Source organism: Homo sapiens, chromosome 5 (genome assembly GCF_000001405.40).
Source record: "Homo sapiens chromosome 5, GRCh38.p14 Primary Assembly".
Classification (NCBI taxonomy): Eukaryota; Metazoa; Chordata; class Mammalia; order Primates; family Hominidae; genus Homo; species Homo sapiens.
In genome coordinates, this window is record NC_000005.10 from 136500174 (window position 1) to 136515661 (window position 15488).

The 15488-nt window shown below is 40.4% G+C and overlaps 1 long non-coding RNA gene across 1 annotated transcript; it reads left to right on the forward strand.

Annotated features, from left to right (window-relative positions):
* The first annotated feature begins 4426 nt into the window (after positions 1 to 4426).
* On the forward strand, positions 4427 to 9456 carry LOC124901076 (uncharacterized). The gene is made up of 2 exons (XR_007058949.1): positions 4427 to 4520; positions 8483 to 9456. It is a non-coding gene; the product is annotated as an uncharacterized LOC124901076 (long non-coding RNA).
* Positions 9457 to 15488: the final 6032 nt, after the last annotated feature.

A 15488-nucleotide genomic window follows, 5' to 3' on the forward strand; every position in this document is an offset into this window, starting at 1 on the left:
CCCAGGCTAGAGTGCTGTGGTGCAATCTTGGCTCACTGCAACCTCCGCCTCCCGGATTCAAGCAATTATTCTGCCTCAGCCTCCTGAGTAGCTGGGATTACAGGTGTGCACCACCACGTCCAGCTAATTTTTGTATTTTTAGTAGAGACGGGGTTTCACCATTTTGGTCAGGCTGGTATCAAACTCCTGACCTTGTGATCCACCCTCCTTGGCCTCCCAAAGTGCTGGGATTACAGGTGTGAGCCACTGCGCCTGGCCTGTTCACATTTTGTTATTCTTTTTTCTTTGTCTTTGTTGAATTGGGCTAATGCTAAAACCTTGTCTTCAAGCTCTGAAGTTCTTTTTTCTGCTTGTTCAATTCTATTGCTGAGACTCTCCAGAACGTTTTGCATTTCTATAAGTGCGTCCATTGTTTCCTGATGTTTTGATTGTTTTTTATTTATGCTATCTATTTCACTGAAAATTTCTCTCCTCATTTCTTGTCTTTTTTTGACCTCCTTAAATTGGACTTTGTCTTTTTTCTGGTGCCTCCCTGATTAACTTAGTAACTAACCCTCTGAATTCTTTCTCAGGTAAATAAGAGATTTTTTTTCTTGGTTTTGATCCATTTCTGGTAAGCTAGTGTGATTTTTGGGGGGTGTCAAAGAACCTCGATTTGTCATATTACCAGAGTTGGTTTTCTGGTTCCTTCACATTTGGGTAGCCTCTGTCAGAGGGAAAGTCTAGGGCTCAAGGTTGTTGTTTAGATTTTTTTTTTTTATCCCACAGGGCATTCTCTTGATGTAGTACTCTCCCTTTTTTCCTAGGGTTGTATGTTCCTGAGAGTTGAGCGGTAGTGATTGTTATCTCTCTTCTGGATCTAGCCACACAGCAAGTCTACTGGGCTCTGGGATGGTACTGGGGGTTGTCTGCGCAGAGTCCTGTGATGTGAACCCTCTGTGCATCTCTCAGCCATGGATACCAGTACCTGCTCTGGTGGAAGTGGCAGGGGGGTGAAATGACTCTGTAAGCATTCTTAGCTTTGGTTGTTTAATGCACTACTTTTGTGCTGGTTGGCTTCCTGCTGGGAAGTGATGCTTTCCAGAAAGTATTGGCTATGGTAGTATAAGGAGGATCAGGCAGCATGCAGGGCCCAAGAACTCCCAAGAGTGTTATGCCCTTTGTCTTCCAGCTACCAGGGTGTGTAGGGAAGGACCATTAGGTGGGGGCAGGGCTAGGCATGTCTGAGCTCAGACTCCTTGGGCAGGTCTTGCTGTGGCTCCTGTGGGGGATGGGGGTGTGGTTCCCAGGTCAATGGCGTTATGTTTTTAGGAGGATTATGGTTGCCTCTACTGTGTCATGCAGGTTGTCAGGAAAGTGTGGGAAAGCCAGCAGTCACAGGCCTCATCTAGCTCCCATGCAACCCACAGAGCCAGTCACACTCCCACCATGTCCCCTCCCAATAGTGTGGAGTCTGTTTCCAGGCAGTGGGCAAGTACGGTTTAGAACTTGTCCCACCACCTCCCAGTTGTGAAGTAGGGCTTTTGTGCTTTCCTCACCTGTGCAGTCTGCACACAGGATTCATGCCCTCCCACAAGTTCTGGCCAGGAGACTTACTGATCAGTTAAAATGTTTACAAAGTTCAGCTAAATGTTTCCTTCTCCCTATGGCCTTTTCCAGTGCCTCTGGCAGCCCTCCCCAAGGACCCCTGTGAGGCAAGGTGGAAATGGCTTGCTAGGGGACCCAGTGAGCTCACAGGGCTTTTCCTGCTGCTTCCTCTACTGCTGTGTTTCACTTGGCTCTCTAAATTGACTCAGCTGAAGGTAAGGCCAGAATCTTTTCCTGTGATCTAGACCTTCAGGTTCCTCTGTGAGGGTGTGTGTTTGGGAGGCAGATGATCCCTCTTTTCCACTTCCACAGTTTGGGCACTCGCAGTATATGGAGTGTCTTCTGAGTCCTGCAGGAGTAATCTGCCTCCTTCAGAGGGTCTGTGAGTTCTCCTGGCTTTCCTGAATTATTCCTGCAGCCTTTCTGGAGCAAAAGTTCATGATGTGAGCCTCCACAGCCTGCCCTGTCTGTCCGAGTGAGAGCTGCAATCTAGTCCTGTCTTCCATCCACCATGATCTGCCTCCCCTGTAAAAATCTAAATAATACAGAAACACACAGAGTAAAAATTAACATCTCTCTTTGATTCCCCACATGTGAAAATTTTAATATATGTGTATCGTCCTGCGTTTCATCCTTATGAAAATAACAAAAATAAGCTTTAATTAGGTGACTCAGTTCTAGTCAACAATGAAAGCCCACAGCATGTGTGTGCAAGCATGCAGACATTTGGGAAGTGAAGCAGGATGAGGGTGTAGGGATGTATGTGTTGTCGCATTTGTCTTCAATGGGCTCATATAGGTTGTTCTAGAGTTGCCTCCATTAGATAGAGATAAAATATAAATGGGATCACAAATAATAGTAATAATGTCAAAATGTATAATTTGAGAAAATATTATATAATTTGGTAAAGAATAAGCCTATCAATGAATGCTTCATGAAGAAAGTGGAATTTTAGGTGAGCCTTGAAAGCTAAGTCAAATTCAGAGAAGTAAAGGAAAGAAAGAAAAACCCAGAGATTAATTTTAATTTGCACACTACATTCTCCCCAACAGGATTCTACTGTGGTTTATAATAGGGTAAACTACTTAACCTCCTTATGCCTTATTCAGTTTTCTCTTTGATAAAATGGGACAATAAAAACAGAACCAACTTCACAGAGTTATTGTGAAGATTAAGTGAAATGCTATATCTAAATAACTTAGAACGGTATATGAAATACAGTAAGATCCAGTCAATGTTTATTACCTGGACTTCTATTATACAGCAAGAGTAAAGCATTTATTCATAAATCTGTGTCCATTTATGAACTGCAGATACCTGCCACATAAAACTCTGCAAGAGTTTCATTCTTTCCTGTCCCCCAGCAATGAGAAAAATGGAACCCAGCTTAGTTTAATCAGGCATATCCCTCAGAGACTATTTCTTAGGGGTGGTACCTTCTTAAACAATCTGTGATGAAGCACCTGATTTTAAAAATTTTCAGTCCATTGTAGACTAACACTGTTATAAAATATAATAAAAATAAATACTAGAAAAGTAAAGTAGAAAAGACATTTAAAAGTACTAATTTTTTATTGTTTGGTTCAATAGGCACAAAATTTCTCTGTCAAATTGCTGTATAGATTTCTGAATTCCCATCCTCCATTTCTGAACTTACCTTGCTTTAGATAGTAACAGTCAGTGGACCACCCTTGGCGTAGCAACATTCCAGGGCACTGGACCTGTACTTCCAGAGTTGCCTCCATTAGATGGAGAGCCACATTCCAACCCATGGCATTGTTTGAGTATATTTGCCATTTGGTGCACAAATGAATAGTAGTACCCTCTTGCCTCCACCTTCTCCTCTGACTCTTTCCTTGGCTTTTATTTCTGCTAGCTGCAGCCCAGTGCATATGAATATAAAGCTGGCTGCTGACAGTTGAAGAAAGTACAAATCACAGTCAAGATAACTTACTATTTTGAAGAACATGAGACAGGGTTTCTTACTACCACTTACTTCTCCTTGTCATTGAACGTGGACATGTCCTGAACGTCTCAACATGTCCTGAATTCTCTTAGCTTAGAAGGCCATGACTTTCAGAATTCAGAGTTTAGAGACATTGCAACTGATTATCAGAACTCGATGCTGCTTACACAGACCTTTAACCCCCATAGGAGTTGGATGTCAACCTCCTCCCTGCTCTGGCCTGAGACACCTGAGCTGACCACCTGTTGGGATTGGACCCAGTCCTTCCTCCTGCCTCATCCCCATCCCCAGCTCTATTCACATGCCTTGCCTGGTATCATGGTTGCCTTTGTTTCTAGCCCTGACAAGCTTTTATTCAGATGTGTTAATTAAAACAATAAACCTTGCTGTTCCCATTTTCCAATTGCAAAAGTGTTCTTGAATCAAGGGTGACTCAAGGAGTTCATGATTACTTCTAATGAGCAGACCACAAAAATCAATCAGTCCCTTTGTAGAGAAACAACACTCGAGTGCAGTCACCTATAATGTGAACAAGGAAACATTTCTTTAACAAGAAAAACATTAATGATAAAAAAAGAGTGGGAGTGGTGGAGCTTCAGATCAGCAAGGAGGGTAGAAGTGACTCCAGAGGTGGCAGATTCTGCTAATTAAAATCTGCCCTAAAATGAACTACTTACCAAGACATTTTAGCCTGAATTTTAAAACAAAGACCCAATATTGTCTTGGTGTCTTTATTCTTTTTGCCTTTTCTTCATCTAAACTTATTTAAAGCTATTTCTATTGTAAAATAAGACACACATACAGACAGTGCATAAAATATATATGTTTGGTTTAAATTATTATAAAGCAAGCTGCATGTAATTGCTTTCTCAGGCCAAGAAATTGAATGTTGCCAGAACCCCAGGAACCACCCAGCCTCTTCCCATATGACCACTTCCCCACACTCTCCACCTTCCTTACTTCTATGGTAAGCACTTATTTGCTTTACCTTATAATTTTATCCTTTAGGAATGAATCTCTAAACATTATAGTTGAGTTCTCTCTGTGAGGTTTAAATAAACTGAATCTTACAACATGCATTCTATGTGTCTGGCTTCTTTAACGCAACATTCATCCATATTGTTGCATGTAACTGGTTTCATTTGTTTGTTGTTGTTGCTGTGTGGTATTCCATTGAATTAATATACCCCAATTATGTACCTGCTCTTGTTGATAGACTTTTGGGTTGTTTTCAGTTTAGTGCTATTACAAATACTGCTGCTATGAACATGCTTGTACATTTATTCTGATGCACATGTGCACACGTTTATTTTGGGCATATACTCAGGACTAGAATCGCTGGATCATATAATATGCAAATCTTTAACTTTAGTATATAATGCCAATGGTTTTCCACAGTGGTTGTCCTAATCTGCATTCTCGCCAACAGTATATGACAATTTTCCACTTAACTTTTAAGAGAGGAAAGAAGGCTTTTCATTGTGTTAAAATATATTTAACTACATGAAATCCATACATTTAGAGTTTCATGGACTAAGCTCCTATAGGTGGTCTGAGTGGTGTGCTCAGCAAGTGCTCTTACTCTGGACTCTAATAGACCTGGATTCGAGTCCTGGCCCTGCCACTTATTCACTATATGCCATTAGACAAGACAGATAACATTTTAAATTCTGCTTTCTTGTTTGTAAAACAAGGGTAACCATAATACAAAATTCACACAATTGTGTTAATTTAGTAACACATTCAAAATGCCTAGTACATTGTCTGGCATGTTGGAAACCTAAATATAATAGGTGCTATTACATTATTATTATTATTATTACTATTACTATTTGCACTCAGGATTTCCTTTCTAACCACAGCGGCGAGAAAGATTGGGAGGCAAAAGTTAACCTTGGCCATCTGTACATGCATATTTTTCAGTAACCTCCAACCTCAGGAAATAGTCTTAGAAAAGGATAATCAAGAGGATATTTACAAACCAGAACTCAGTTTTGTTTAAGTGGCATCAGCCAGATGAGCAACACTTGTCAAGAGTGTTTTCCTAGTCACCCTGACAGTTCTATACCTCCTGGCACCTCAGAGAAAAAATAATTGGAACCCTGAGCTCTCCACCACCACCTGTCCAGGGAGCCCAAGTGCTCTGCTCCCTCATTCCAGGAGCAGCCACCTGGCATGTCCCTGACTCCTGAGACTGCAGCTGCAGGAGCAACATGGAAGCCATTTGGGCCCTCTGCTTACCGTCGCTCTGGGATGCAGCTGCCAGGAGCTGTTCCCAGAGGACTGTGGTGGCTAGTAGCCAGCAACACTGAGAAATAAAAGTCACAGAATCCAGGATACAAGGTAGAAATTACTGTAAAATGCCCTACAGTGAGTGAGCGGGAAGGCCACCAGTGCAGTTCTGTGCTGAGTGTGACTGATCTCTCAGCATCTTCTCTCTAGCACCTGCTCCTTTTGTCCACTCTTCCAGGAAGATGCCCAACAGGCATTAGGAAGATTGCCTGTTCTAGAAACAGGGCTCTGACGGTCCTCTAAATAAAAGACCCATTTAGATTCCAAGGTGCAGGCCCTGGGCTAAAACTCCTAGAGGATTGTGAGGTATGACACCTAATGGGCAGGGGGCAGAAGTGAGGCAGGTTCTTTGTCTGCAAGGAGATGTCCAGGCCTGCTTTTGATAGGGGAAGGAGGTTCAGAGTGGATTATGGGGTCTGATTTTCAGGATTGATTTGGTGAGGCCACTTATTCAGTGATATCATTGTCCTTTCAAGGTCAAGCTTTCTTACTTGTGACTTTTTTCTTTGAGAGGAGTGATGTATTAGAAAAGACTTAAAAGTCTACCGGCTAGGGACCTGGAGTCTGGGTTAATCACACACATGTGTATATTTGTTATTCTAAATAGGCTAAATTGATTCTTGTACCAGAGAAAACCTGTTCTAATAAAGCTTGAAATCATTCTAGATTACTCATTATTTCCATGCTGTGCATCACGTTTTCCCCACTCTAGTCAATTTCTCTTTAAAATGCTTCCCACCTATGTTTCTCCTCCTTCTTACTTTGTCTTATTACAATCATTCCTTTGTCATTGCAAATATCTCTCATTCTAATCAATTCTTCATAGACCTGTCAACTTAATATTATTCAAATAATGTTTTCATCATATCCTTTCCTGCTCAAAAAGGTTCCCAGTTGCCTCATAGGTAATACCAAAATTCCTCAGCCTGGAGCTCAAGGCCCTTCCTTATCCATTATTTTTTAATTCTCATTTCCCACTATTTTTCCAATGAATCCTGTTAGGACTCATTGTCCCTGTAACATGCTACCCCCTCTGCTCTTCCATGGCTCACCCTCTGACACAACTTGCTTTCTTCCCTTCTTCTTCCATCTTGCCTAGTATTGCCAATGTGTGGTGTGTGTACCTCTGGTATAACATAATATAATTGGGTAGTAGACCAAATTATTTTTTATTTATTTATTTTGAGACAGAGTCTCACTCTGTCACCCAGGCTCAAGTGCAGTGGCGCTATCTTGGCTCATTGCTACCTCTGCTTCCCAGGTTCAAGCCATTCTCATGCCTCAGCCTCTTTAGTAGCTGGGACCACAGACACTCACCACCATGCATGGCTAATTTTTTGTATTTTTAGTAGAGATGGGGTTTTGCCACACTGGCCAGACTGGTCTCGCACCCCTGACCTCAAGTGATCTTCCCACCTCGGCCTCCCAAAGTGCTGGGATTATAGGCGTGAGCCACAGCACTCAGCTGACCAAACTTTTTTAAAGGAAATTTTAATATGTAGGGTCTTAGTCAATATATAGTGGAGAATTTAAAAAGTCACATCACACCCATGACTTCATAGATATCACTGCTCAGAATGGGCTAGAGTAGAAAACGCTGCATTATCCCACTTTTACAAAGTATAAAATTATAGTCTTCCACATTATCAGGATATAAATGGAGTGGCCCCATACCCTGGCCAGATAGATTGGCTCAAGAATGGGCATTTGGTTTGATTCAGTCCAAAGAGGAAAGGTCTACTAGAGAATTGAGAAAGACGTTTAATCACTCTTAAGAGCCATTAGAAAGGATATCCTCTCCTCTCTTTTTCTGGATGTAGAAGCTGCAGATACAAAGACTGAAACTGCTATAGTTACTTTGGTACCATAAAAGAAGGCAGCCTGAGGACCAAGTCAGCCCACAACACCGAGTTGAGACATGTTCAGAGAGCTCTATATTAAACCAGATTAAACCAATTCTAGTTGGACTTTCCGTTCCATGAGCCAAGGCATTTTCCTACTGTTGAAGCCAGTTCAAGTTAGTTTATCCGCCACTTCAGTCTAAAGCATCATGGCTGCTTCAGTTTGGATGATATGAGTTGCTAACATAAATCCATGCTTCCCACATTTTTTTTTTACCTGATGTTCATAGTAGAAAAATGGTAGTAGTTGTAACACAGTGGTGTAAATGGATAATATTGCTTGTGATCAAAGGTGAAGCACTCTGGGGCCTTTGGCTGCATCAGCTTCACAGAAAGCTGGGGGTCAGTATCTCAGAACTTGTAATCCACTTGTGGTAAGTGTGAGAGCCCAGTGACTGGGAGGCTCTGCTTTAGAAAATCCATGTCTATGGTTCTTTCTTTTCAGAAATGTGTAAAAACATCACTTGTGGAAGCAGTAACTCATTTAGTAGGTTAAGTATAAATATGTTAGAGTTCGGCTTTTGCTCTTTGTTTTTCTCTTACATTGGGCCCATTCAAGAGCAATGGTTAAAAATAAGAGTTTTACAATGTAAAAGTGAGCTGTGTTGGAAATGTGAGCACTAGTAGTGAATGGCATTCTAATGGTTGCATGAGAAGTTAAATGTACTGATCACTATGCTCTGGCATGCTTTATGAAAAGGTGGGCAAACACTAAAACGATTTCTATTTTATTCAGATGCCCCTGGCTTCAGATAGAAAGGCCCTGAACATCTACTGGGGTTTTGAGAAGAATATCAACACTTTCCTAAGAGAATTTTCTATCTGTAAGATCATATACTTGATTGGAAATGGCTTTGCTAACTGGTATATTTTTATTCATTTGATCAACTTAAATATACCCTTACAAAAGAAGTTTATACCAATACATCAAGCGTACAACAAAGTGAACACAGTGACTGCAAACCAGATCTGTAGGCCTCATGCCTCAAATAATGAAAATTGTGATTTTTTTTCATTGTGCAAACAACTTGATTATTAACTCTGATGAATATCCGCTAAAAATATTTTGAATATTATGAAAAGCAGTTGGAAAAACTTGATATGTATTCTTTGAAATTATTTTTCCAAATGGAGTAAATGGATTAAAATAAAAGAAAGAAAAACCAAAAATATTTTCCCTTAAGGACATTAGCAGATAATATTAATATATTCAGAAAAAGTTTGAAGCTTGCTTCAGTTTTTGAAATAAATATTTATCAGAAAAAACTTCCTATTTTATTTTGATTCAAAATTAATTATCAGGATTCAGTTCTTTCAGAGAATATAGTGATTTTTTTTTCTATTCTCATTCTATGCTCTTGTCAGTTGGAATTCAGTGAAATCATAACTAATCACTGAAACTATTTTATAAAAATTTCTTTTCATCTGAAACTAAGTGACTGAGCCTATTATACGCTTTATTCTTGATTGACTTTATTCTTTTCTGTTAGAAATTATATTTAGGTATGCATTTCTACAAATTGATTACACCGAATATTGCTCATTTTACTACTTAACTTTTAGTTTGGATTTAATTTTTAAATTCAATAATGTTATTTTGCTCTATTTGTACTATAGGTTTGTATTATAGTTTGTCTAATGACAGTAGTAATATAATATTTTATTCATGAATGCATGTTAATAAAAATGTATATTATATACATAAGTATATAATAGTATGTGTGTTGTTCACACATGGCCCCAGTTGGTCATGTGGATAACTGAGGCTTTGGAAACACGGCTCTAGTTGAGATATACTTCATTCAAGGCCAAGATACATTTTTCTTCCTTTAGGAAGCCTTCCCTGACAAGTCAAACCAGCATCCAGTTCTCCTTCTTTTTAGGACTCTTAATTGTGTTTATCTTTTTTGTTTATCAGTCTTAAAAAGCTCTTGGTTTTACTCTTTTCGTTAATTGACAGACACTTCACTTACAGTGTTGACCTGTGTGCCAGTAGCAGGGTGGTGGAAGTGGTCTGCTGTAGGTGCAGGCAATAAGAGGTGCGTTGACTTTAGTGAATATAAAAACATCAGCAAAACCCTCTGGGCATGGTAATAATGCGTATACCTCCAACACTTTGGGAGGCCGAGGCAAGCAGATCACCTGAGGTCAGGGGTTCGAGATCAGCCTGGCCGACATGGTGAAACCCCATCTCTACTAAAAATACAAAAATTAGCTGGCATGGTGGCAGACCAGTAGCCTGTAATCCCAGCTACTCAGGAGACTGAGGCAGGAGAATCACTTGAACTCGGGAGGCAGAGGTTGCAGTGAGCAGAGATCACGCCACTGCACTCCAGGCTGGGCAACAGAGTGAGACTGCATCTCAAAAAAATAAATAAATCAATACAACCAATTGAAATCCAGTCTGCTTTTGATTATCACCAGGTTCCAGCAATTCTGAACATCACTGATAAAATACTCCATTCCAAAAAAATCTGTGGTTAGTCCAAGTTTTAAATAATTATTGCAGCTATGGTTAAATTTTAATAATACATATGTATGCTTCAAACGAGGACATTGTTATTACTTTTCCTTTAATAAACATTGTATTGAACACAAAATAATTTGAAGAACCCCTGCTTATACAGTTAGCCTCCAACATTTGTGGATTCAACTGTACTTATTTATTTCAAGAACAACATAGTTCAAGTTCATAGTTAGAAGTTTATGATGGTTTGAAATCATTGGCTGGTGCTTGTTTGGGGTCTGGTTTATGTCTCCAATCCTGTGGTCTACATATTCATGCATTTAAACAGTGGATTTGAAATAAACAATACTGACCCAGTCAGTGACTGTAAATTTCTTCAATCCTGCCATTCCTATGTGGTCACTTGAAGTTTTTATGTTTAAAAATTTAAATCAGTAAAACAGTATAAACTGAGGGGTGCAATATTTTTGTTTAGCTACTTAAAATTTTAGTTTGTATTCAGAATTTGACTGAATTTGAAGAGTAATTTAAAAATTGGAATGTATTTAAAATTGTCTTAAAACATCACATGCCAAGAAAATAATGGTAATTTCTGATTATCCTTGATTACTATTAAAATGATTTTCTCAGATAGAAAAGGAATGTATTTAAAATGATCCAATGCATTTGTTAAAACTCAAGATTGTACACCAAAAAGGGTAAATTTTACTGTATATAAATTATATCTTTGTTTAAAAACAATATAAAAAGTTCTGCTCTGGGTGTCAAACACGCTAAGTACTTCACTGAAATAAAGAAAGAAGTGGATGACTCATCAACAATCGGTGCTACTGGGAGGTGTGGAGAGAGGGAAGGTATTGATAGTGGTCAGGAGTTAAGTTGGCATACAGGCTACACCACACAAGAACTAGTGTCTATTCTCAGCTGGCCCGTGGAGAGTCATATATTGGAAGAGGATGTGAACTGCTCACAAGACCAGCAGTTTTGCAATCTGCTGTTACTTGGGGTGGGAATATCTATAATCCTTTTCTTCTTTACCTCCCAGCACCAATCTCTTAATCCCCAGAGCTGGTCATCTAGCATCCTATGAGCAATTAGAAACCCACTGGTAGCCTTGTGCAATTGTGGGGTACAAGGATGATGCCCATGGAAGAGGCCACAGAATAGTCTAAGCCTTCTGGGAAAGATTCCTTATGTTTCTTGTCAGTGAACATTGTTTCCTTCTCTTGATTTCCATAAGCTCTTTCCATGTGGGTTTTATTACACAAAACATTTCATTAAATTGGACATCTTTTCACTACCTCTTCTTTGACTTTAGTTTGTTTTTACTGATTTGGAAATCTAAATATCTTGTTAATTAAACTGAAAATGTCCCCCCGCCCCCAGGCAAGTAGAACCAATCCCAATCATTGCAGTGGCTACATCTGCATAGAGATCACTGTGTAGGGTTAGCAGAATGCTTAACCTCAAATTCACTATCCTAGAGAGGTAGCATGAGGGCATGCTAGGCTGGAAAGCCAAGGTCAGATACCTGGGGCCATGTCATGGGTTTCCACAGCATTTTAGAATAGGAGAGCCCTCAGAGAATGTCTAACAGTTTTGATTAACCCATTGGTTACCAATGGGAGAACATTGTTACCAATGAGAACAATGAGGCCCAGAAACAGAGTGAGGTTTGCTTGAAGCACACAGCTCATTAGTGACAGAACTACGACTGCAAATCATGTCTCCTTCTCCTACCTCCACAAAATAATGCAATATATATGTATGGGTAAAGCCATGAGCTGCATTTATTTAGAAGGTGGTGGTGAGAAAGAATATAAGGCATACCTGGGAGAAATTTGTCATGTCTTTCAGCTACAGAGAAAATTCACTCCAGAAAATAGTTGTGGTCTCAAATAGCTGTGAATGAGTTCAGGATTCCTGGGGAATAGAATATTTAAAGAAACCTCATTTAGAATCCTTTTGTACACATAAATATTTTTTGGAATATATATAATTGCTTTCCATAAATTTTAGAGTATTTACATCTAGGTTGTTTCATATGCAACCATCACATAGTCAGAAAAACCTAACTTGGAGAGGCCATGGCTCTCCAGAGAAAATGCTATTTGGGGCTGTATTATTAAAGGTAGATGACATTGGCTGCTGCAACTGAAAACCCTGAATTCTCAGACACTTTACACAAGACAATTTATTTTCTTCTTGTGTCTTAGTTAGATATGGGGTAAGGAGAGCTGGTCATCTAGTGGCCCAGGTTCTACTCTCCTCTGCGTCCAAGGAGTTCTCTCTAGTCTACTAGCCAATGGAGAACAGAGAGACACACAGTTGGAAGTAAGGGTTGGGTCAAGAGTTGACACATCACTTCCACTCATTTTCTAATGGCCAACACTTACCCTCCTGGCCAGCTAACTTCATATCCAGCTTTATGCCAAAAAAGTGAGGCATTCATGGATGTTGGTGAGCACAAGCTTTCTCTACTCAGGTTTCACCAAAAGGCACCTGCATGGCAAAACTTTCCCAACTCCAGCAGGGCCCTGTGCTGGAGGAGTCAGAGCCCATGGCATGTATCATTATGATAATTCTCTAGAGACCATGACATCCTGTTCCAGGCTTCCACTACAATAGGGCAGGACCTGGATTCAACAGGAACACAGCCGGTTCCTCTCTGGAAAATCTCGGCTTCTGGTATGGCACAGCTTTTGAGCACTGAGTTGCACCTTTCCAACTGCAATTAAAGTTATTAGGTGTTTGGCATGAGGAATGTGAGAACCCAACCTGTCTGCAGAGTATAAAACATTAGAATAAGGTGGCCGGGCGTGGTGGCTCATGCCTGTAATCCCAGCACTTTGGGAGGCTGAGGCAGGTGGATCACGAGGTGGGGAGATCGAGACCATTCTGGCCAACATGGTGAAACCCCGTCTCTACTAAAAATACAAAAATTAGCTGGGCATGTTGGCATGTGCCTTTAGTCCCAGCTACTCTGGAGACTGAGGCAGGAGAATTGCTTGAACCCGGGAGGTGCAGGTTGTGTGAGCCGAGATCGCACCACTGCACTCCAGGCTGGTGACAGAGAAAGACTCTGTGAAAAAAAAAAAAAAAAAAAAAAAAGAAAGAAAGAAAAAAGAAAAAAAAAAAACATTAGAAGAAGGTATAATGTCTCTGGAGTTTTCCTAAGACTTCCTGATATAATAGCCTCTGGGCAGTATGCACGTGCTCAGCTGCAGTTTTCCTGAATAAACTATGTGTCTTCTTTCAAAGTACTTCTTGTCTCAGACGTGTTTTTTTCCCACTGCTTAAAAATAGAAGCCTAAAGAAGAAATGAGAATGGTTTGGTAATGAAAGATCAAGGCAGACAGTAATTATTGATGAAGGATGAAAGCTGCAATGGCATGAGAATGCATTTTACCCTTTCCTTATTCCATGGAGCATAACTGACTGAGCATAACTTGAAACTCATATTTGTATTTTTCTGAAGCTACACTTCCCATAGGCAGCTCTCTGCTTCTGACAGCCACCTTTAGCTGAAGCATTCCTCACTGGGTTTGCACAACTTTCCTTTGACTTTATGGCAGTCAAAGACACTTCTACCCAACCTGCTCTCCCTCTCTTTCACCTGGGATCCAACTTGCATTACAAGCCATGATCCAATGGCTCTCTCAGCTTATCTTGGATTCTTCCCTGTTTCCTTGTATGTGGGCATTTTCCTAATAAAATCTCTGCACATCCCTCTTTGCCTCTTCTTCTTAGAAGATCCAGACTAACAAAAGTTCAGGCTTAATATTATCCTGTGAACTATCACTTGCAATGAGTACAACATTAACACATCACTAATTTCCACAAAGGTCAGCTCTAATAAGTCTTCCCTTAAAATTTCTATGAAATAAGAAAGGGGACTTAGCAACCAAGAAGCTGAGAATTGGGATGTTGGAGAGATCAAGGGGCTTGGACCCCTTTTAAGTGTTATTTCCGTAGGGTAATCAGGGGAACCTGAATTCTATTCCTAGAGGCCTTTAAGAGAAGAATCTATACAGGAAATAGCAGCAAGTGAGTAATAATATACCACTTGATTATTTATTGTATTTATTATTGGGTGGCTCAAACCTAATGAAGAGTTTTCTAGTAAGCTTGGCTAGGCTGAGCTGGATTAGGCCAGGCTTGAGCACCCAACCTAGCCCAAAGGCCTAGTAGGCTCTTCAAAATCTTTAACTCAAACCTAAATTCCAGAATCTACCTACCCTCAGCCAGACACATGGGACAGAGGTCAAAGGCAAAATAATACCTAAGCCTGTGTGTTTGAAGACAAGAGAGATTAAGATGGTGGGTCTCTTCCCATGTGGGAATGGACTCTGGCTTCCCTGACCACCTAAGCCACAGGAGGAAGGAAAGAGGTCATCCATCAGGATGTTTACGCTGACACCACCCATTTTAGAGAGCATGACCTAATCAGATTCTTGGAAACCAATGCAATCAGATTATTATTCCCTCATCTTAGAGGAATCAAAAGGAAGAGAGTATTGAGGGAAGGAAGATAATATTTACCCTCCTCGGAGAGCATTCCTAGATCCTTACTAAAATGCACATTAATCACTTAGGAGCTTGGTGTGTGTGTGTGAAGGGGTCTTATAGGAGGCAATCTCTTCCCTTAAGGAGTGAAATTCAATTGGAAAATGAGAAAGACATATACAGAGAAATCAGATAACGTTTCAGTTCTTGGCTCTGTAGTTCTGAACAATAGGATAGATGGGATCAATATGAGCTGGGCTGACAAGCATGAGCTTTTAAGAAGAGTCCAAATCTTGTAAAGTTTTGTAGGCTCCTTGGTTTTCTTATGTAATAATCTTACAGGGTAAGTCCTCGTGAAGATTAAATGAGATAAAACATAGTGCCCAGCACTCATGAGAGATGGCAAGTTGGCAGTGAATGCTGGCCAATTTCCAGGATAGGTGAAGGGGTGGGGTGACTCCGGATGAGAAAAGCAGCAGCCGCAGAGATGTATGTAGGGACCACAGGGAGACCACTTGGCCAGAGAGAGGCGAGCACTTTGCAAGATTGTGGGGAGTCAGGCAGTATGCTTTCATAGGCCTAGGGAAAAAGAGCCATCCAAGGCAGCTGGCTGGCACTCCAACTTAACGCAGAAAGAAATTGACTGAGAAGTAGAAAGTGGCAATTGGAGGTGGGTGCTTACATACTTAAATACCCGAGAACAGTTGGGTAAAAGGGTTCAGCTGGACTTTTCTTGTCAGAAATGAGGCTGCATTCTTCCTCCTCTAGG